The sequence below is a fragment of the Homo sapiens genome, chromosome 5 (assembly GCF_000001405.40).
Source record: "Homo sapiens chromosome 5, GRCh38.p14 Primary Assembly".
NCBI lineage: Eukaryota > Metazoa > Chordata > Mammalia > Primates > Hominidae > Homo > Homo sapiens.
The window spans coordinates 180,303,190-180,325,848 of record NC_000005.10 but is presented as its reverse complement, the minus strand read 5'-3'; the positions used below and the strand labels follow the sequence as shown (position 1 = coordinate 180,325,848).

At 50.8% G+C, this 22,659-nt stretch overlaps 1 protein-coding gene across 1 annotated transcript in view, besides 4 other annotated features; it reads left to right on the top strand.

Annotated features, from left to right (window-relative positions):
* Positions 1-22,659, top strand: part of GFPT2 (glutamine-fructose-6-phosphate transaminase 2) — a 52,639-nt gene that overhangs the window by 27,488 nt on the left and 2,492 nt on the right. The window contains exons 8-17 of the mRNA NM_005110.4: positions 954-1,033; positions 1,544-1,661; positions 6,893-7,056; positions 8,791-8,886; positions 8,988-9,085; positions 9,388-9,508; positions 11,885-12,042; positions 13,305-13,419; positions 18,546-18,673; positions 20,910-21,077. Coding sequence (NP_005101.1) covers positions 954-1,033; positions 1,544-1,661; positions 6,893-7,056; positions 8,791-8,886; positions 8,988-9,085; positions 9,388-9,508; positions 11,885-12,042; positions 13,305-13,419; positions 18,546-18,673; positions 20,910-21,077 — 1,246 coding nt within the window. The remainder of the gene's footprint in view (positions 1-953; positions 1,034-1,543; positions 1,662-6,892; positions 7,057-8,790; positions 8,887-8,987; positions 9,086-9,387; positions 9,509-11,884; positions 12,043-13,304; positions 13,420-18,545; positions 18,674-20,909; positions 21,078-22,659) is intronic.
* Positions 2,035-2,720: an enhancer, noted in NCBI's record as "NANOG-H3K4me1 hESC enhancer chr5:179750129-179750814 (GRCh37/hg19 assembly coordinates)". NCBI's record gives its function as "activates a minimal SCP1, AML or CMV promoter by ChIP-STARR-seq in naive and primed H9 embryonic stem cells {active_cell/tissue: H9 hESC(naive and primed)}" and the evidence as "EXISTENCE:reporter gene assay evidence [ECO:0000049][PMID:30033119]".
* Positions 11,806-12,100: an enhancer, noted in NCBI's record as "tiled region #4162; HepG2 Activating DNase unmatched - State 4:PromP, and K562 Activating DNase matched - State 4:PromP". NCBI's record gives its function as "activates a minimal TATA promoter and a strong SV40 promoter by Sharpr-MPRA in HepG2 and K562 cells {active_cell/tissue: HepG2 | K562}" and the evidence as "EXISTENCE:reporter gene assay evidence [ECO:0000049][PMID:27701403]".
* Positions 18,910-19,423: an enhancer, noted in NCBI's record as "H3K27ac-H3K4me1 hESC enhancer chr5:179733426-179733939 (GRCh37/hg19 assembly coordinates)". NCBI's record gives its function as "activates a minimal SCP1, AML or CMV promoter by ChIP-STARR-seq in naive H9 embryonic stem cells {active_cell/tissue: H9 hESC(naive)}" and the evidence as "EXISTENCE:reporter gene assay evidence [ECO:0000049][PMID:30033119]".
* Positions 19,424-19,938: an enhancer, noted in NCBI's record as "H3K27ac-H3K4me1 hESC enhancer chr5:179732911-179733425 (GRCh37/hg19 assembly coordinates)". NCBI's record gives its function as "activates a minimal SCP1, AML or CMV promoter by ChIP-STARR-seq in naive H9 embryonic stem cells {active_cell/tissue: H9 hESC(naive)}" and the evidence as "EXISTENCE:reporter gene assay evidence [ECO:0000049][PMID:30033119]".

The window sequence follows — 22,659 nt, the reverse complement described above, 5'->3', positions numbered from 1 at the left end:
TCCGCCATGTTGGCCAGGCTGGTGTCAAACTCCTGATCTCGTGATCTGCGCGCTTCAGCCCCGCAAAGTGCTGGGATTACAGGCGTGAGCCACTGTGCGCCCAGCCAAATCATGAGATCTTCATCACGTCCACCACTAGAAGTTGTGAATCAGAGGAAATATCCTAAAGCTCTTTCCTAAAGATCCCCTGCTGAGGTGCTCAGAGAGCCGGGCTGCAGTGGCTGAGACAGTGACGCTGGGACAGGAGGCCTGAGTGAGGGCCCCTCACCTTGGCCAGCTGCAGACTCCCTGAGATTTTGCCTGTGACAGTTATTGTCCTCTTTATGATGAAGTCTACCTGGTGCGGGGTGAAGATTCTAAACTTCCATCCACGGGGTGTCACTTTGGCAGAGACAAAAAACCACCCAAGAAATCACCTTATGTCACCTACAAAGTAGAGAATATACAAAAGTCAGTCAGACTAGTGCCCACTAATGCTAGAGAACTGGGCTAGGGGAAGGGAAGGAACAACAGGGGGTCTTTGGGCAGATGGTGGGTGCAGAGCCCTATTGTTATAGGGATGCGCTGCCGTCGAGGCTGGGTGGAGACCTAGAGTGCCCCTGTGCCCCACCAGCGCCTCCTCTGCTGCCAAACGCTCAGCCTCCGCCATCTAACCTTGTGGGTTGGTCACATGTGGGGACTTGACTGGACTGGAGGAGGCCCGGCCTAGGAGGGTGGGAGTGAGACAGGTTACCAAGCTTTCTGGGCAGGTGGGTGATGCCAAGTCAGGGACCTGGGACTCAGGAGCTGGCCTTTCCATCCTGTGCTCCAGGCGTCCGTCCTGTGGGACCTAAACAGGATCCTCCACCACTGGGAAAGGGCTAGATTTGGGGATCCTACCTCAGATGCTGGGCAGACACCCAGCACTGGGCGTCAAAGGCAATGGGTAATGGGATGCCTCTTTCTCCCTACAGGAGAGGCAGCCCCCTGCTCATCGGAGTCCGGAGCAAATACAAGCTCTCCACAGAACAGATCCCTATCTTATACAGGACGTGTAAGTTTCTCAAGAAGTACCGGAACAGCACAGCTGCTGGTGTCGCAGGACTCGGCAGCTGCTCTGGCACAGTCAGCTCCCCTCTGAGGCAAGGAAACCCCACTCTGAGCCAGACCCAACAGGCGCACAGCTCCAGGTCTAAAAGGTTTTTGTGCAACTGAGACTTGGCTCCATTTTTTTTAAGCTTTTTATCATGGACATGAATTTATCATGATTTTGTATATTGTCAAACATACACAAAAGTGCCATTGTATAACGGCAACTGGGCTTTGATGTGAGTGCTTCTTTGGTTTGTTTTTGTTTGCATTCCTCTCACACTGTAGCCATTTAAATGCTTTTGCAGTGGTACTGTGCTATTGGGGGATCTTTTACACGATTTGGCTGACACAGCCAAAGCTAAAAATTGCAAATTTCTCCCACACATATTCAGAGGGGAAATTGGTTCCTTGCTGCATATTATGCAAACAAAACATCCCAGTGGGATTTGCAACCCATTCCTCCATTTGCTAGGCACTCTGGAGAATGTGAAGAATATCTGTAAGACACGGATGAAGAGGCTGGACAGCTCCGCCTGCCTGCATGCTGTGGGCGACAAGGCCGTGGAATTCTTCTTTGCTTCTGATGCAAGGTAACTGAGCCTTCTTCTCTTCGCTTCCTGGGATTACATAATCAAAGAATGCCTGTCTAAACACTGCCGGTTCTTATTCATCCTTCCATGTGAGCTATCGTGGCTCAGCAAGTCGCAGGGCCAAAGAAGAGTTCAGCCATCCCTGGGCCTGGGCCTGGAGTCCTTGTCCTAGGAGCACCTGCATGACTGTGGTAGGCAGCCCTGGTGGCCAAAGGCCAGATGCACTGGTGGGCACAGTGCTTCGAGCCTGCACAAAATGAATGGGTTAGTTGCCAATGTTGTAAAATTTGGAGATTTCACAGAGAAATCTGAAATCTCTAGCTTCTCTGGAAGAACTAGCAGATCGGGGCATGCTGTGCAGCCCTCTCTCAGGTGGCAGGTGTCTGGATCTGCTCAAAGGCTGCCCCCTTTAGATGAGACAACTGTGTCTAGACCTCAGTCCCTCCCATGCCCCTCCCTGCCTTTGCCTGGGGTGAGACCATTTGTGAAAGACAGAGCCAAGACACAGGGAGTTTTTCAATTGATTCTAAAGTCCATGCTCTCATCAATCCACTGAATAATGATTTTGAAATTTGAGAAATTCTGCTTTATACTCATTTCAGAAAAAAAAAAAGTTATACACACACTCACACACACACAGAGAGAGAGAGAGGGAGAGAGAGAACCAGAGCACTTTCCTGCCATTTGAAGTAGAAAACTGCTGTAATCACCTCTGGTACCTTCTTCAAAGACCCAAAGGCTTGGGCCTTTGTTATGTTTCCATTCTTGATGGGTTTTCTCTTTCCCGACCAGCCTCTAATAGGGCCGTGCTGTGAGGCAGGGAGGACACCAGGCCGGGTCTCCTGGGAAACGGGAGCGACAGGGAGGCGAGGCCTGATTAAACGCACAGCCAGCATCATACTTAACGCTGAGGTCAAGGCAGCGCTTCCCAAATGGTGCCCCTTAGAACACGCCGAGAATACCAACGAGACGCTGGTATTATTTCAGTGATTCTAAAACACGGAGAATTGTAGATTTTGGCATAGTACCATTAGAATTTGTTGAAGCTTTTATTTCTTAGAAGTTTGTCAAATAATTGTGATCTTAACGATCAATAGTAACTTATATTCAATGAAATATGATAGATGTTTCTTTTTTTATTTTTATTTATTTATTTATTTTGTCTCACTCTGTCGCCCAGACTGGAGTGCAGTGGTGTGATCTCGGCTCACTGCAAGCTCCGCCTCCTGGGTTCAAGTGATTCTCCTGCCTCAGCCTCTGAGTAGCTGGGACTACAGGTGCCCGCCACCACGCCCGGCTAATTTTTTGTATTTTTAGTAGAGATGGGGTTTCACTGTGTTAGCCAGGATTGTCTCCATCTCCTGACCTCATGATCCGCCCTCCTCAGCCTCCCAAAGTGCTGGGATTACAGGTGTGAGCCACCGCGCCCATCCAGATGTTTCTTTTTTTTTAAAAAAAAGGCATGAATGCCTGAAAGGAGAGGAAATAATTATTTGTAGGCAATACTATTACACATTTTTAAATCCAGCCAAAAGGCTGTTAGAACTGATAGTACTAGCAGCTGGGAGTAAAGGTGTGGAAATCCTATATCCTGGCCTTAGCCACTAAGCTGTATCTGGTTCAAGTGGGACCTTGTCCACCTTATTCTCAGGTGTCACCTCACGTGACCAGGCACGATGCAGTCAGCAAACGTTAGGTGAACCAAAAAAGCAATACTATTCACCACAGCTGGAAAAAAAAATGCTTTAGAGTAAATTTTAACAAAAATACTCTAGAACATATTTGGAGAAGTCTACAGAAATTTACCATGAGGAAGTAAGAGATTTGAATATAGGAAGAGATTCCACATTCCTCAGTAGGAAGGCTTACTATTCTTTTCTTTTTTTTTTTTTGAGACAGGGTCTCATTAAGTTGCCCAGGCTGTCCTCGAACTAACTCCTGGACTCAAGGGATCCTCCTGCCTCAGCTTCCAGAGTAGCTATTTTCAAAAATTAATGCACTCAACATTTAAAACTAATTTAATGATTACAAGTTATTTTTAAAAAATATTGACTCTACCCAAATTATTCTGTGAATTCTGTGCTGTAATTAAGACTGTCCAGGCCGGGCGTGGTGGCTCACGCCTGTCATCCCAGCACTTTGGGAGGCCGAGGCGGACAGATCATGAGATCAGGAGATCGAGACCATCCTGGCCAACACGGTGAAACCCGGTTTCTACTAAAAATACAAAAAAAAAATCAGCCGGGCGTGGTGGCGGAGGCCTGTAGTCCCAGCTACTCGGGAGGCTGAGGCAGGAGAATGGCGTGAACCCGGGAGGCGGAGCTTGCAGTGAGCCGAGATCGCGCCACTGCACTCCAGCCTGGGCAACAGAGCGAGACTCCGTCTCAAAACAAAACAAAACAAAACAAAACAAAACAAAACAAAACCCTCCATATTATTTTATTTGTTTATGCCTTTGGAACTTCAGGAAGTGATTCTGTCGCGTGTAGTGTAGAGATAAGAAAGACAACACATGCTGAGAAAGGAATGGCAGGTGGCCCTCCCAGATGTGAGCACACTGTCCAGCTTTTGGGCAACGGTGGCCAGTGTGTGCGGGGCACGGTATGAGAGCCTCACCAGGATCCCATGCGATAATCATGACAGACCTCTGGGGAAGGCACAGCTCTTTTCTGTTTACAGAGGCGGAACCTGAGACAGGAACTCCAGGGGGTTATGTATGTTGCCCACGGGCACAGGTCTGGCAAGTGACAGAGGCCCCGAGTCCACCTCAAGCCTAACTGGTGGGCCATTGGTTTTAATGACTAGATTACATGACTACCCATTTTGGAAATAAAATAATTATATTTAAACAAACATGTACATGCACACATAAATATAAACACACATGCGTCATGCATTGTTGGTTGGTTAATGCTACAATGGAAGCAGTGTTGATCTCTCGGAGACAGGATAGGGCCGTTTTTACTTCTTGTCACTCCATGTTTCTACTTTTTATACAAAAAAATATATTTCTATACAAAATTTTGTATAAAGCTCTGTATACTTTTATACAAAGCATACAAAGTTATTTGTACACTTTTATACAAAGCATACGAAGTTATTTGTACACTTTTATACAAAGCATACGAAGTTATTTGTACACTTTTATACAAAGCATACGAAGTTATTTGTACACTTTTATACAAAGCATACGAAGTTATTTGTATACTTTTATACAAAGTTTTGTTTAAAATATTTTTTCCAGTACAGTGGCTTGCCATCTTTCTTTCTCTTTCTTCCCTAGGATCTGGCTGGATATACGTCTTTTAGAGCCTTAGACCTTGATGGTTTCTCTCTTTACCTTTGCACCAGGAGTTTAAGTGTTCATTTTCAGGCAGTCACGTGTGGGTGTGGCTCTTGATAGAATGAGAGTGTTTTTTTTGAGACGGAGTCTTGCTCTGTCACCCAGGTTAGAGTGCAGTGGCACAATCTCAGCCCACTGCAGCCTCCGCCTCCTGGGTTCAAGTGATTCTCCTGCCTCCCAAGTAGCTGGGATTACAGGTGCCCGCCACCACACCTGGCTAATTTTTGTATTTTTAGTAGAGACGGGGTTTTGCCATGTTGGCCAGGCTGGTCTCAAACTCCTGACCTCAGGTGATCTTCCCGCCTTGGTCTCCCAAAGTGCTAGGATTACAGGTGTGAGCCAGGGCTCCCGGCCGAGAGTGTTTTCTCCAGTAGTCCTTCAAGCCCAACCTGATGGTTTATACCACAACTATATACCATTAATCACCTTTCTTTTTCATTTAGCAACTTTTCAAACTTAAAATGATTTTAAAAGATACTTTGTATTATGATCTCAAGGGAAAAAAATCATTATTCTTTTCCATACAGAGAAAGTTATAAAAATAAACACAATGGGCTGGGCACGGTGGCTCACACCTGTAATCCCAGCACTTTGGGAGGCCGAGGCGGGCGGATCACGAGGTCAGGAGATCGAGACCATCCTGGCTAACACGGTGAAACCCCGTCTCTCCTAAAAATACAAAAAAGTAGCCGGGCATGGTGTCGGGCACCTGTAGTCCCAGCTACTCGGGAGGCTGAGGCAGGAGAATGGCGTGAACCCGGGAGGCAGAGCTTGCAGTGAGTGGAGATCGCGCCACTGCACTCCAGCCTGGGCGACAGAGCGAGACTCTGTCTCAAAATAAATAAATAAATAAACACAATGACCCTATGTTTCTTTGGTAAGCATAGCTTGTAGACTACTTTTAGGGCTCCTTTGTGTATGTGTGTGTGTGTGTAAGAAACTAGGTCTTTTGTCCTGATGAGTTTCCCATTGTCTGGGTTTTGCTGAGTGCAACCCCTGGTGTCATTTACCATCTTCCTCTGTCCCCTGTGTTTCCTGTACGCTGGAGTTTACAAGTGTTAAAAGCTCGATCTTATTCAGGTTTGATTTTTTTTGGCAAGACTACATAGTTGGTGGTGTGTCCTTCCATCAGGAGGCGGGTGATGTCTCACCATCTCTCTTTTTGTGCTAAGAGCCATCAGGGGTTTGAGTGTTGCCAGCCTTATCCATCCATGATAAAGCTTCGTCCAGCTTTTTACCTTCTGGTTTCAACAGCCATGAATGGTCCTTGATTAGAGCTATTAATAATTAGGAGTTCATAAATTGATTCTTCTATTATTTCTTCATTACTAGCTGTATCACTTCTTAGAGAAACTTGCCTTCATAAAGTATGTGGTTGTTCTGAAAGACAGATTGTTTAGAAAGGCGAGATAAATGCTTTATTCTTTCCCTTCACGATTCAGAATAATGTGTTGGTTCTCGAGTATCTTCCAGAGGTGACATTGTTTGGATCCTGATTTGAAGAAACCGGTTATAAAAAGACAGCCGTGAGATTATTGGAGATATGTAAACATGCTGAATATTTGATGATATAAAGGAACAACTATTCATTTTAGATATGATTATGGTATTATAGTAGGTTAAAATAGTTTTAGAGCTCTATGGTAAAGTGTTTACAGAAGAAATGATATAATGTCTGGGACTGGCTTCAAAATAATTCCGTGGGGACAGGAGGGAAGAGTGGAGAAGAAAAGGAAGATTCACCTGCAAATCAATGTTTTTAGTGTGGTCTCTCTGTCCCTCCTAAAATGCCAACGATGTGGCCTCCACGCTTGGGAACCAGCAAGGGGCTGCTGCCTCGTAACTGCTCAGGGCAGGGCACTGATGATGCCTGTTTCCCTTGCCCCAGCGCTATCATAGAGCACACCAACCGGGTCATCTTCCTGGAGGACGATGACATCGCCGCAGTGGCTGATGGGAAACTCTCCATTCACCGGGTCAAGCGCTCGGCCAGTGATGACCCATCTCGAGCCATCCAGACCTTGCAGATGGAACTGCAGCAAATCATGAAAGGCAGGTGTCCTCCAGAGTCCACGTGCGGCAGCCTCGGGAGCCAGCGCGCCTGGTGGAGCTCCTGACACTCTGCCTGGTCCTAGTAGAGGCCACAGCCCTCCTGCCCTCTGTGGCCACCAGGGCGGGGCTGCAGGTAGCCTGTGGCTTGCACAGGTGAGGGGATGTGGGGAGGCTGGCCTGGCACCTCCAAGCGGGGGCTCCTGTGTGCAGCCAGCCGCCAGGTCTTTCCTACTGGAACTGAGCCCAGTGTGTCAGCTGCCTTCCTTCACCGACTCCGCGGGACACATGCCCACCCTCAGGCATCATTTCTCCTCTGGGTGGAAGTCTGCAGGTCTGCAGTAAATGGGGGGTGGGGGTACACTTTCTCCCTACAAGGAGAGCCTCTCTGTCTGCACCCATTTCTGTCCCCTTACAACCTCTACCCCACAGGGCAGCCTGAGCAAACGTCTAAGAACATGAATCAGCCCCTGTGATCATCCCGCTGCTCAAGGCCCTCCAATGGTTTCCTACTGTTCTTAGAATAAAATCCAAACTCCCTGCCACAGCCCACAAACCCCACACCCCAGTGGGGCCAAAGCCTGGCCCCACCACACTCAACCCTCTGTCCCACTGTGCCCCGCCACAGCCCCTGCATTCGCTGTTCTTCTCATAGGACTGGTTCCTTTTCATTGCCTCCAGCTCCCTTGAAATGTCACCCCCTCAGAGACTCCTTCTCTGCTCCTGTGTCTGCCATGGTCCCTCCCCAGCCCCTCCCCTATGGTGGCCACCCCTCATTCCCCTCACTTGCTTCATTTGCTCGTCGCACAAGTGCCAGGTCATGGGAGACAGGCCGGGAGCATGGGCGATGTTGGTGTCATGAGTGTGCGTATCCTAGAGAACACGGCCTGCCCTGCCTGTGGGTACCTCCAGAGCATCAGGTGCAGGGGCTTGAACACCCTGCAGCCCCATTGTCCCATCAGCACCATCCAATCCCACTCAAATCAGAGCCCTGGAAATGCCTGTGTGGCTGGAAAGGTTTTTTTTTTTTTTTTTTTGAGACGGAGTCTTGCTCTGTCGCCCAGGCTGGAGTGCTGTGGCGCGATCTCGGCTCACTGCAAGCTCCGCCTCCCGGGTTCACGCCATTCTCCTGCCTCAGCCTCCCAAGTAGCTGGGACTACAGGCGCCCGCCACTACGCCCGGCTAATTTTTTGTATTTTTAGTAGAGACGGGGTTTCACTGTTTTAGCCGGGATGGTCTCGATCTCCTGACTTCGTGATCCGCCCGCCTCGGCCTCCCAAAGTGCTGGGATTACAGGCGTGAGCCACTGCGCCCGGCCTGGAAAGGTTTTTATTACGGAAACCAGGAGGGTATTTATTAGAAGGAAAATTGCCTGTTTCTTTGGGCCTGCTTAGCTGTACTTTCCTAGCTGGATGGCTTTTTGGGAGTGAAGCACTTTACTTTCTTTTGGCCTTGCTAAGGGAGCATGGCCCAGAGGGATCAGCCAGGCCATTTGTTACTTGCATGCCTTGGGCAAATCCCTCCCTTTCTCAAGCTGCAGGGTCCAATATGTAAATTGGAGATAGTCCTGGTTCCTGACCTGCTTCCCTCTGATGGTAGTGAGTGTCAGGCAGGGTAATCCCTGGGGATGCCTTTGGGAATCTGCAGTAAGCTTTACAGGAGTTACTATCGCTGCTGCATAATGAAAAGCAGTGAAATATAATGAAATTAAAACTGACCAGACGTTTATTTGACCAGGTAACTTCAGTGCGTTTATGCAGAAGGAGATCTTCGAACAGCCAGAATCAGTTTTCAATACTATGAGAGGTCGGGTGAATTTTGAAACCAACACAGGTAATTCCTACACTCGGTGGGGAGCCTCCGCCCGAGCCTAGTCTCAGGGAATGCGGTGACTGTGTAGACTCAGCATTAACGCCTTGTCGTGTGCCCTGCAGTGCTCCTGGGTGGCTTGAAGGACCACTTGAAGGAGATTCGACGATGCCGACGGCTCATCGTGATTGGCTGTGGAACCAGCTACCACGCTGCCGTGGCTGTAAGTGTGACACATGTGCGTGGGGAAGTCGACGGCAGTCTAGGACCAGACACTGGCCTTCAGTTTTATCACTCATGTGGCCTTCTGAATTTGGCTAAGCCCTTGTACCCATTCCCATGAGCTAGCGTGAGAAATGACACGGAGCCCTTTTATCTTCGAGGTGGCCTGTGGGTGACCGAAGTCCCCTCGCCACCTGGACAGTGAGGTTCCGTGTCACAAACTGTCCCTAGAAGCCCAGCTGCCCCATGTCCCTGTCGTGCCTGTGACTGACTTTAGTCTCCATGCTTGCTTGTTGGCTTCAGACGCGGCAAGTTTTGGAGGAACTGACTGAGCTTCCTGTGATGGTTGAACTTGCTAGTGATTTTCTGGACAGGAACACACCTGTGTTCAGGGATGACGTTTGCTTTTTCATCAGCCAGTCAGGTAAGGGACACAGGCATTGTGGCCAGCCTTGCATCAGGTCAGCTCTGGGCTCTCTCCTCTTCTCCTTCATTCAGTTAAGTCCTCTGCATGGCTACCCTGTGCTGCGAACCCTCTCTTGCAGCGGTCATTTAACCCGTAGAGCCATGGATTACTGTCGCCATTGTACGGGGAGGGCAAGAGATGTCTAAGGCCATGCAGTCAGGGGGTGACAGCTGGGATTGGGCTGGAAATCCACGCACGTTAGTCTTTCCCCTGCCCCGTGGCTTCTCCCTCTTCTTGCCTATCCAAGACTTCAAGGACCACTTACCGAAGTGCTCATAAATGTTTGCTGATTTATGTTAATAGAAAAAGCATCTCCTTTAACATTTTGTTAGGTTGAGAGTCACGTGGAGGACCCAGTATGGGCTCTGTGCCCAAGTGTCCAAGCCGAGCTGCCTGTGGCATGCAGTGCCCATGCTGCCCAGCAGGGGGAGGTGTGGGGGAGACAGTGCTCCCTTTTAGGGCCAAGGAAGGTCTCCCAAGCTACATGCACCCCATCTGGTGCCATCCCAACACTGGGCTTGACATTTGCTCCAGCTGTCTCAGGGAGGTGATCCAGGGCCATAGGCTTGGAGTCTCCTTGAGCTCGTGGAAGATTTTTGAAATGTTTTAATTACGGATAATTCCAAGCCTTTATAAAAGTAGAATTTTCATATAATGAATATCCTAGCCTTATCCAGCCCATCTTGTGCCGGTCGGACACACTCATATTAACCCCTCGTCTCCATGGGGTTACTTTGAAGCCAATCCCGGGCATCATGATATTCATCCATATAAATACTTCAGGCTGCATGATTAAAATGACAAAAGAAAAACATATAACCGGCCGGGCGCGGTGGCTCACGCCTGTAATCCCAGCACTTTGGGAGGCTGAGGTGGGCGGATCACGAGGTCAGGAGATTGAGGCCATCCTGGCTCACACAGTGAAACCCCGTCTCTACTAAAAATATAAAACAATTAGCCGGGCGTGGTGGCGGGCGCCTGTAGTCCCGGCTACTCAGGAGGCTGAGGCAGGAGAATGGCGTGAACCCGGGAGGCGGAGCTTGCAGTGAGCTGAGATCGCGCCACTGCACTCCAGCCTGGGCGACAGAGCGAGACTCCGTCTCAAAAAAAAAAAAAAGAAAAAGAAAAACGTATGACCACGGTGTTACTACCACAACTAAAATACTGATTGTAATGCCCTATCATCTATTAGGACTTTTAGTACTCCTGCCATTTTCCATTTTAAATACCATTTCCATTTTGTTGACAAGTGAAGAAAAACCAGTACAGATACACCGACCATCCGGCCCACCACCTTATGACGCAGGAGCTGCTGCCGTGTTCACCTTTGGGTTTCTGATCCCACCAGAGCCTCAGACTATTTTATAAATTGGTGGGAGACATTAACAAAAGAACAGAGGTGGAGCTAATATGAAAATAATGCAGTGGCAGCTTCCGAATCTCTGTGTGTATAGAAGTCAGCCCTTTAATGAGATTGAAAAAACACTATCGAACCCTAGGGCGCGGGTGACAGAAGTTAGAACCCCCTTTCCCGCACCCTCACCGCAGTACCCCGTGACACTCCAGTGCCATAACCCAGGGCTCTGAAGAAAGAAAAGCAGAGGAGAATTGGGCCACCTAGCACCGGGCGGCACCTGCCTGCCCTGCAAAGCTGGGACAGACACAGCCAAGAGCAGTGGCCCTGCAAACAGAACAGCCTCCCGACTCATGAGGATTTCAACAGTTTTGATTTTATAGTCTGGCTTATGCTGAATTTAATTTGAGTGCTTTAGGACTCACAAACATAGGGAGCTTGTGCTGGTTTATGCATGAAGCTGTTTAGCTTTATTCTAAAAACAATTTGAGTCCACACTGAGAGGCTTGCAAGAAGTGTCCTTTCAAACAGGATCTAGCTGAGAAACACCACTTGGGGACATTCCTGCTTGTCAGATGTTAAATCTGTTCCATCTCAGCACGTTCTGAATAAGGCAGCTTATTCAGTTGCAGAGAGGGCGCTGGGAGCCAAGCCCACCTGTCACCAGCTGTATGGCTTTGATCAGAGCACCGGTTTCCTCCTGTCTCTGAGCCCTCATCCTCAAGAGGAAAATGGGGACGATGGTCCTCACGGGGTTGTCACGAGATTTAAATGAAAAGATGCTTGCCACAAATAGTAACACACCTTGAATGTAAGAATCAACCGAAAAGGCTGTTGAGCGAGCGTTTTCCTTTCTGAACACCCGCTGGCTGTGTCTCGGGCGCCGATTTCCCTGTAAGAGCCGGCGGTGAAGGAGGAAGGGGTTTGGGGTGGGGCCGAGGCTGGCGGAGCGCGGCACTGAGAGGGCCCCTGGGCGGCAGGCGAGACCGCGGACACCCTCCTGGCGCTGCGCTACTGTAAGGACCGCGGCGCTCTCACCGTGGGCGTCACCAACACCGTGGGCAGCTCCATCTCTCGCGAGACCGACTGCGGCGTCCACATCAACGCAGGGCCGGAGATCGGCGTGGCCAGCACCAAGGTAGGAGGAGCCACGGGCGCCCGTCCCAGGGAGAGCCTGGCGGAGGCAGGTGCACCAGAGGCCGCCCTCCTCCGGCCTGCTCTGCCCGCGCCACCGCCTTTCTTTCCCCTTCCCGCCTCACCCCTTCTCTCCGCTCCTTTCCTTTCCCCTCCCCTCTTGGATTCCCGTATCTTCATTTTTTTTATTTTTATTTTTATTTTATTTATTTATTTTTTTTGAGACGGAGTCTCACTCTGTCGCCCAGGCTGGAGTGCAGGGGCGCGATCTCGGCTCACTGCAAGCTCCGCCTCCCGGGTTCACGCCATTCTCCTGCCTCAGCCTCCCGAGTAGCTGGGACTACAGGCACCCGCCCCACACCCGGCTCATTTTTTGTATTTTTAGTAGAGACGGGGTTTCACCGTGTTAGCCGGGATGGTCTCGATCTCCTGACCTCGTGATCCGCCCGCCTCGGCCTCCCAAAGTGCTGGGATTACAGGCGTGAGCCCCCGTGCCCGGCCCCCATATCTTCATTTAGTCTCATTTTATTCCCATGCCACGTTCCTGTGTTTCGTCCATGTTGTCCTGTGGCTCTTTGAGCACCTTGGAGATGCTTATTTTAAAGTCCTTTAGGGCTGGCACGGGGCTCCCCCCTGGAATCCCAGCACTGTGGGAGGCTGAGGCGGGAGCATCCCTTGAACCCAGGAGTTCCAGACCGCCCCGGGCAACCCCGTCCCTTCAAAAATAAAACTTAGGCCAGGTGCGGAGACTCAGGCCTGTAATCCCAGCACTTTGGGAGGCCGAGGCAGGGGGATCACCTGAGGTCAGGGGTTTGAGACCATCCTGGCTAACACGGTGAAACCCCGTCTCTACTAAAAACACAAAAATTAGTCGGGTGTGGTGGCGGGTGCCTGTAATCCCAGCTACTCGGGAGGCTGAGGCAGGAGAATCGCTTGAACCTGGTAGGTGGAGGTTGCAGTGAGCCGAGATCGAGCCACTGCACTCCAGCCTGGGTGACACAGCAAGACTTTGTCTCAAAAACAAAATAGAAATAAATAAATAGATAAATAAAACCTAAAAATTAACTGGGCAGGGTGGTGGCACCTGTAGTCCCAGTTACTCGGGAGGCTGAGGTGGGAGAATCACTTGAGGAGGTTGAGGCTGCAGTGAGCCGTGATCTCGCCACTGCACTCAGGCGTGAGCAACAGAGTAGACCCTGTCTCAAAAATAAAAGTTGATTTAAAAAGTGAAAATAAGGTCCCTGCCACCTCCTTCTTTGTGCACAGGCTTATACCAGTCAGTTCATCTCTCTGGTGATGTTTGGTTTGATGATGTCTGAAGACCGAATTTCACTACAAAACAGGAGGCAAGAGATCATCCGTGGCTTGAGATCTTTACCTGGTATGTTCTAGAATTCAGCTTTCCATGTTTTCAGATCTAGTGGACTGTTGCTGGCCATTCTCTGTTGACTCTCACCTGTACAGGATGTTGTTCATTTCTTCTTCCTCCTAAAACTTCCTAGCTTCCCCAACTCCCTCCTGGAGGCCTTGCTGCCTCTGACCTCATCCTGCTCGGCCCCCACCTCCCCCTGCGCTGCCGCGCTGCCTCCCTGCCTCCCTGCCTCCCTGCCTCCCCGCCTCCCTGGTCCTCAGCCTCCCTGCCTCCCTGGTCCTCAGCCTCCCTGCCTCCCTGGTCCTCAGCCTCCCCGCCTCCCTGCCTCCCTGGTCCTCAGCCTCCCTGCCTCCCTGGTCCTCAGCCTCCCCGCCTCCCTGCCTCCCTGCCCCTCAGCCTCCCCACCTCCCCGCCTCCCTGCCTCCCTGCCCCTCAGCCTCCCCACCTCCCTGCCTCCCTGGTCCTCAGCCTCCCTGCCTCCCTGGTCCTCAGCAGTGCTCAGTGCTTTCTCACCGCAGGGCCTTCGCACTGGCTCTTTACTCTGCTGAACCATCTTCTTCCTGCTCTGCATACAGCCGACAGCTTCTCATCTCCCAAACCTCAGCTCAAATGTCACCTCCTGAGACCCTCCCTGGCCATGCTCACAGAGGCCCCGACGCCAGCACTCTGTGAAACATTAGCCTGTTTATTTTTTTCATAACACACCTCATGACCTGAAATTCCCTGTTCACCTGTTGACTGGCCTGTCTCCCCCAACTAACATGTCGGCTCCGTGAACACACAGCTCTGTCTGCCAGAGCTGCCACTGGACAGCTGGTGTCCAGCACAGGGCAGGCATACAGTAGGTGCTCAGTAAGTACTCGAGAAAGAGCAAATGGCCCCAGGTCCTTCCTATGCCAGGCGCTCCTTGGCAGCCCCACCACACTTTCCCCGTTTGCTGGGCAGCAGCAGTCGCAGCTGTCGTAGCTGGTGAGATACAATATCTGTTGCACTAAATCATGACCTCCTTGGGGACCGTGGCCTCCCCTTTCTTCATTCATCCACCACATATATTAAGAACCAGTGCCGTGCCCTGTCCCATGTGCTATCCCTGGCCTGCCAAGATAAGCAGCAGCTCACCTCCTTCAGTCACTCACATGCCAGAGTAGGAGAGAGACTTCTGTGCAGGCCTGAGAGGCGGAGATGAATCGAGCCTCGCCCCAGGCTGGCATGGAACGCTCACTGCGGACAGGACATCATGGGGCTTCTGGGGAGTGCCCTCCCAGAGACAGAGTGGACGCTGGAGCTTCCCTGGGAGCCAGGGCCAAACCCCAGAGCAGGCAGTTGGGGAAGGGCCATCATAGAGAATGGTCAATTCCAGGCCCTCGGGGCCTGACACTGGCCGAGACAGCTTGCTGAAAGTTTATTTCTGAGAAAAGCATTCTTCCTTTAAGCCAGGTCATAACCATGCAAAACAGGACCCAATTCTGACGTCTAAGTCAGTGGTTCTCCAGATGTGGTCCACAGGTCCTGGGTGTCTGCAAAGCCCTTTGAACAAAATTGTTCACATAGTAATACATTCTTTATACTAAAAATTTTTTTTTTTTTTTTTTTTTTTTTTTTTTTTGCCTGTGTCCACATTTGCAAAGGCAGTGGTGGCTGTGCCCGGCACCCAGCACACTAGAAGGCCTACTGGTCATTGTGTCCTTCACCAGCACACACCCAGTTTCCCTTAAGAATGGCCTTGATGGCCGGGCGCGGTGGCTCACGCCTGTAATCCCAGCACTTTGGGAGGCTGAAGTGGGCGGATCACCTGCGGTCAGGAGTTCGAGACCATCCTGGTCAACATGGTGAAACCCCATCTCTACTAAAAACACAAAAAGCAGCTGGATGTGGTGGCAGGTGCCTGTAATCCCAGCTACTCGGGAGGCTGAGGCAGGAAAATCACTTGAACCCAGGAGGCAGAGGTTGCAGTGAGCCAAGATTCTGCCACTGCACTCCAGCCTGGGCAACAGAGTGAGACTCCATCTCAAAAAACAAAAAAGAATGGCCTTGATGGTGAGGCGCAGTGGCTCACGCCTGTAATCTCAGTACTTTGGGAGGCCGAGGTGGGCAGATCGCCTGAGGTCAGGAGTTCGAGACCAGCCTGGCCAACATGGTGAAACCCCATCTCTACTAAAAATACAAAAATTAGCTGGGCGTGCTAGTGGGTGCCTGTAATCCCAGCTACTTGGGAGGCTGAGGCAGGAGAATTGCTTGAACCCAGGAGGCGGAGATTGCAGTGAGCCGAGATTGTGCCATTGTACTCCAGCCTGGGCGACAAGAGCGAGACTTCATCTCAAAAAGAAAAGGCTGGGCACGGTGGCTCATGCCTGTCATCCTAGCACTTTGGGAGGTCGAGGCAGGCAGATCATGAGGTCAGGAGATCGAGACCATCCTGGCTAACATGGTGAAACCCCGTCTCTACTAAAAATACAAAAAATTAGCCGGGCGTGGTGGTGGGCACCTGTAGTCCCAGCTACTCGGGGGGCTGAGGCAGAAGAATGGCGTGAACCTGGGAGGCAGAGTTTGCAGTGAGCCGAGATCGCACCACTGCACTCCAGCCTGGGTGACAGAGTGATACTCCATCTCAAAAAAAAAAAAGGAATGGCCTTGATGAGGTGGTAAAAATTATTAGTCTGTAAATTGCAACTCTTTGTAATATCCTTTATGATGAAATGGGGAGTACACGTAGCGCCTTTCTACTGGGGCCAGGCGTGGTGGCTCATGCCTGTAATCCCAGCACTTTGGGAGGCCAAGGCGAGCGGATCACCTGAGGTCAGGAGTTCGAGACCAGCCTGACCAACGCAGTGAAACCCCATCTCTACTAAAAATAGCTGGGTGTGGTGGTGTGCGCCTTTAATCCCAGCTACTTGGGAGGCTGAGTCAGGAGAATCACTTGAACCTGGGAAGCAGAGGTTGCAATGAGCTGAGATCACGCCGTTGCACTCCAGTCTGGGCAACAAGAGCAAAACTCCGTCTGGAAAAAGAGAAAAAGCCTTTCTGCTCTACACTGAAGTGTGATGCTTGTCTCAAGAGAAGCAGCCATCCCATTGAGTAGCAAGCTGATTTTGGTGTTTGTTAGACATTTTCTCAAAATGAAAAATCAGCTGACGCATCAGTAGAAGCAACCCATGGTATTTGTTGCCAATGATAAACTTTAAGCTCCCAGGCAAAACTTTTGAGTGTTAGAAAACACCTCTGTTACCATGAGCTTGACCAGTTCCTAACATTTAAAGACTTCTCTAGGGCCGGGCACGGTGGCTGATGCCTGTAATCCCAGCACTTTGGGAGGCCGAGGTGGGTGGATCATGAGGTCAGGAGTTCAAGACCAGCCTATCCAAGATGGTGAAACCCCATCTCTACTAAAAATATTTAAAAAATTTAGCTGGGTGCAGTGGCAGGCACCTGTAATCCCAGCTACTCAGGAGGCTGAGGCAGGAGAATCACTTGAACCCGGGTGGCCGAGGTTACAGTGAGCCGAGATCGTGCCACTGCACCCCAGGTTGGGTGACAGAGTGAGACTCTGTCTCAAAAAAAAAAAAAAGTCTTCTCTGATGAGATCAAGGTGACTTCAACAAGGTGATTTTTAAAGAACATTTTATAATAAAAGTGTCCATTTTAAGAAGATTTACATACCTTTGTGGCCAGTTCACGATGTCACAGAGTTATGCACTTGTAAATGATCCATTTAAAAGCACAAGACAGAAAAATAAATTTTAACCTAACAAAGTAGAAAAAGTTTATTGATAGGATTTCAGATTCTATATTGGCACCTACCCTTTCAAGAACCTACTGTTTCTCAAGTTTGATGTACTGTGGTGTCAAAGAACAATATTCACAATTATTTGTAAAATAATTTAAATACTCCTCGCTTTTCCAACTACAAATCTGTATTTGTAGGCTGAATTTTATTTTTATACTTCAACCAAAAGAGCTTATCACCACAGATTGAATGTGAAAGCAGATATTAGAGTCAACAGTCTTTTATTAAAAAGGCAGACACTAAAAAGATTTGCAAGAACAAAAAGCAGTGCCATTCTTCTCACTAATTCTTGTTGGAAATGAAGTAATGTAATAGATTTAGTGTTGTTATTTTAAAGTGAATATTTTTAAATTTCTCATTGTTAGTTTCTTTCTTTCTTTTTCTTCTTTTTTTTTTTTCGAGATGGAGTCTCGCTCTGTTGCCCAGGCTGGAGTGCCGTGGTGCCATCTCAGCTCACTGCAAGCTCCGCCTCCCAGGTTCACGCCACTCTCCTGCCTCAGCCTCCCGAGTAGCTGGGACTACAGGCGCCCGCCACCATGCCCGGCTAATTTTTTGTATTTTTAGTAGATACCAGGTCTCACCATGTTAGCCAGGATGGTCTCGATCTCCTGACCTCGTGATCCGCCTGCCCCAGCCTTCCAAAGTGCTGGGATTACAGGCGTGAGCCACCGCACCCAACCACGCCCGGCTAATTTTTTGTATTTTTAGTAGAGACGGGGTTTTACCATGTTAGCCAGGATGGTCTCGATCTCCTGACCTCATGATCCACCCGCCTCGGCCTCCCAAAGTGCGGCGATTACAGGCGTGAGCCACCACGCCTGGTCCTCAGTGTTATTTTCTAATCTGGTAAATGTTGACAGATTTAACTCAAAAACAAAGGCTCTTGGGGATGTGCAATAATTTGAGGGACTTGCAATAATTTTCAAGAGTGTAAAGGAGTCCTGAGACCAAAGGGTTTGAGAACCGGTGGTCCCACTTACAGGGGCCTTGTCTTGAGACACAGCAGGAAAGAGGGGTGTTAACTGGTGGTGTCAGCTCTGTCTCCAGTGGGTGATTTTTGCCTCTCTGAGCCTCAGTTGTCTTACCTGCAAAACGGAGTGAGAAATGGTACTTCCTACCTTGTTGGTGCTCAAGAAAGTGTTCACACAACACGAATCCCCATCCTAACAGAATCCTGGCCAGGAGCCCAAGTTATTTCCTGTAATCTACGTTTGAAACGAATGCGAGGAAGCAAAGTGTGCTAAGTGATGCGGTTTCAAAAGCTCCTCTTAAACCCCAGCATTTGTCTTCATGAATATTGCTTTAAAGTCGGCCTGACTGGTTTTCTCCCTCTGCTCCGTGCATGGCCCAGAGCTGATCAAGGAAGTGCTGTCTCTGGAGGAGAAGATCCACGACTTGGCCCTGGAGCTCTACACGCAGAGATCGCTGCTGGTGATGGGGCGGGGCTACAACTATGCCACCTGCCTGGAAGGAGCCCTGGTGAGCCCCCACCCCCAGCCCCCACCCCCACGGAGGACAGGCACAGGAGACCCTGAGGAGCCAGCGGGAAGGAGGGCAGGGCGTTGGGCTTGGGGAGGGCCGGGCCTAAGGACCCCTTGGCCAGTCCTGTGAGCCTGCGCTGAGCACCAGCTCTCCACCAGGTTTCTAGCCCTGGGCACACAGAGATGGGTGAGGCAGGTGCCTGCCCCCAGGGATCTCCCAATCTACTGAGGAGAAAGGGACAGGGCGCCTGGGGTGTGCCCCTCCGGCTGTCCAGGCACTGCCAGGGTCCACTTGGAACAGCTCACTCAGACCTCATGAGCTGCTTCTGAGAGGTTGGCGGTTGCTATTCACCCTCATTCAGGAGGAAACAAAGCCTCTGAAAGCTTAAGTATCTCACTCAAGATGACGTAGGGGACCCGAATCAGACCTGAGTCCATGGGGCCTTCGCTTTTTTCCACCAAAATTGAGGGGTGGGTTCTCCGCAGAGTTTCCTTGTTACCCCTCAAACTTCCAAGGGGAGTTTGAGATCCTGCAGGAATTAACTTCGAAGGCCTTGCTTTTTCAAAAATTGGTGACAGGCCATTTGCCCCCTGCAGCATTAAAGATCCACGCCAGGAAAGAGAAAGCTGATGGGGCAGGGACAGGGTGCCAGGGCCACAGGGCTGCCCAGAGGGTGGGCAGAGAGCCGTGCAGGGTCCTGCATCTCGGACTTGCCCTTTCCTCGCTGTCAGCATGCCATGCACGGAGCAGATGCTCAGCCCAGGTGACGGGGACAGTGCTCCAGCTGAGGCTGCACTGGCCACCAAGACGAGGGCATTAACCGTGGCCCAGCTGGGCTGCCATCCTCTCCCATCTCCTCCCCACCACCCCCATTTGAAAGACAATGCTAGGCTGGCACAGTGGTCCACGCCTGTAATCCCAGCACTTTGGGAGGCCAAGGCAGTCAGATCATTTGAGGTCAGGAGTTCGAGACCAGCCTGGACAACATGGTAAAAGCCCATCTCTACCAAAAATTCAAAAACTAGCTGGGCGTGGTGGTGCACGCCTGTAATCCCAGCTACATGGGAGGCTGAGGCAGGAGAATCGCTTGAATCCAAGAGGAGGAGGTTGCAGTGAGCCAAGATCATGCCACTGCACTCCAGCCTGGGAGACAGAACGAGACTCCCATCTCAACGAAAAAAAAAAAAAAGAAAGAAAGAAAAAAAAAAGAAAGACAATGCCAGTTACAAGTGGTTACCGGAAACATTCAGAGTTGATTTCCTTGGTCTTGGTGGGGAGTGCAGGGCTGTCCTCACTGAGCTCCATCTCCTGCACCTGCCCCCTGGAGATTCTGACTCCTGTTAAAGAACAGGCAGGTGCTGCTTCTTGGAGTGCAGTAGAGGCAAGGCCTGGGGTGCACTGTCAGTCCCCAGATGACTCTGCGTCATGGGTGGGGGCTGAGCTGCGGTGGCTGAACGTGCTGGCGGGAGATGCACATTGCAGCTATGCCTCCGCATGAGTCTGCTGAAGGAAGAAGCGTTTAGGTGGCTGCTGGCACGAGCCCATGGTCCTCTGGTCACTGGGAGGCCGGCACTGCAGCTGTCTGCGCCTCCAGACTGGAGCCGCACTCCTTACAGTGTGGCCCTGACCTAAATCAGCAGTGCTAGCGGGGAGTCGAGAGATGATTTATTTGACTGTCTCACCATTTCAATGACGTGGATTTGTGGTAACTGAATAGAGATGGATCTACCTGAACACAGGAAAAAAATTAATTCAAATAACACCCCAGTTTGTGTGATTTTGCTTGGAACCACTCTTTAGAAGTTATTAATGGGCAAATGCTTAATCAGATAATTAACTGAAGGTGTAGCTAAGCTGAATACGATGCTGTCGTTATACACGTGGCTGGCTAGGGAGGAGCAGGGGGTGAGCTAGGCTGACTCCGACTTGTTTGTCCTAAGGGGTGGCTGTGCGTGGGACTGGAGAGAGACAACAGCAGTGCCCGGGGCTGGTGTGGGGACACAGAGGTTGTGTCCCGGGCTGGTGCATGCTCTGGATGGTAGCCAGGCCTCTCCCCAGGCCCTTGCTGGGTGTCCTCAGTGCTGTCAAGCACTCCAGGCATCTGTCTGCCTTGCAACCCTTGGCTCTCTGCCTTCCAGAGTCATCCTTCCCCTGGTTCCCCTTCTTCCCCTCTGGCTGATCTGCTCCAGCCCCATCTGCCCAGTGTGACTCTGATCTCACCTCCTGTTTCCAGAAAATTAAAGAGATAACCTACATGCACTCAGAAGGCATCCTGGCTGGGGAGCTGAAGCACGGGCCCCTGGCACTGATTGACAAGCAGATGCCCGTCATCATGGTCATTATGAAGGATCCTTGCTTCGCCAAATGCCAGAACGCCCTGCAGCAAGTCACGGCCCGCCAGGTGAGGGCTCTCCACTGGACTGGGCCAGCTCTCTCCTGCTTTTCCCCATGCATGCCCACCTCACCACTGTCTGCCAGTACCAGTGATGGATGGTCTGGCCAGTGAGTGGCTGTGACCACACACCCTCCCCCGGGCCGCCTGTGGGGAGTGCACACACTTGGAAAGGAGCTGGTCAGCCCGCAGCTGTCCCACACAGCTCTTTGGTGGGGCCCAGGGACCCACACTGCTGTGAGCAGCACCAGATCCTAGCCTGGAGCTCAGGGGAGGTACTCCTGGTGGACATCCCTGGGGCAGGGTTTCCCCAGGTTCTGCGGCCAAGCAGCTCCGATGGGAACTACCTGGAGTTAGGTCAGGTCTCATAGGGCAGGGGCACAGCTTTCCATAAGACTGCCCTCGATTCAGGCACCTGTTGCAAGCCAGGGGTCCACCCACACATCTGAGCAACTGACTATGAATCCAAGGATTCCCACTCTCCCCTGAAGTTCAGTAATTTTCTAGAACGACCCATAGAACTCAGGAGATGACTATATGATTACAGTTTTATTATAAAAGATATAAATCACAGCCAACCCAAAAGAAGAGACCCCTAGTTTGAGGGCCCCAGATGTGAAGCTTGTGTCCTCAGGATGTGTCACCCTCCCAGCACGTCACTGTGTGTCGCCCGGGAGCTCCCCTGAGCTGCTAGCTCCAGTGTCCAGAGTTTGTATTGTGGTTTTATTAAGTAGGCAGGATGGAGTGAACCATTGGCCATGTGATCAAACTCAGTCGCCAGCCCCACTTTTGTCCTTGGAGGTTGGGAGGTCAGACTGACAGGCTCATGTCTCAAAGCCCCAACCTTCTAATCATGTGGCTGGCCTTTCTAGCAGGGCCAGACGCCATCCTGGAACTATCTACAGGCCCACCACGAGTCGTCACCTTAGCATAAAGTTAGGTATAGTCCAAGGGACCTCCCATAAATAACAAAGATGCTTTTGTCACATGGGAAAGTCCAGAAGCCAGGAGCTCCCTTCCTGGAACCGGCCACAAAGACCAACCAAATGCTTTGTACACAGCAGCTGCCCTGAGGTAGGAGGGCAGAGTTCATGAAGTTTCGGGGAGGTGAAATCCAATGAGGTGCCCCATCCAGATGTTGCCACCTGGCTCAGCACAGAGGTCAGAGTGAGGGTATAAAACACAATGGCATCATTTCCCCACTTAAAACCCTCCCATACCTGCCTGTCAAGCCACAGAGACCCACAGTCCTGCGTTATCTGGCCCTTTCCTCCTGTTTCAGTGAGTTCCAGGCACTCCAGCTTTCCTTCTGCGTCCCACTCTCATTGCGCCCGCGCCCGCCTCCGGGCCTTTGCGCTGGCCGCTCCTGCTGTCTGGAATGCCCTTCCCACAGAATGCTCCGCCGAGGGTTGTCCCCTCATCATTTAGGGTTCAGTCCAGATGTCTCCTGTTTTTGAGAGAGCTTTGGAGACCTCACCAGTCTCCCAATGACATTATCCTGTTTTCTAGCCTTGGTGGCATTTCTTTGGAATTCATTTTTTTTTTTTTTTTGTGACGGAGTCTGGCTCTGTCGCCCAGGCTGGAGTGCAGT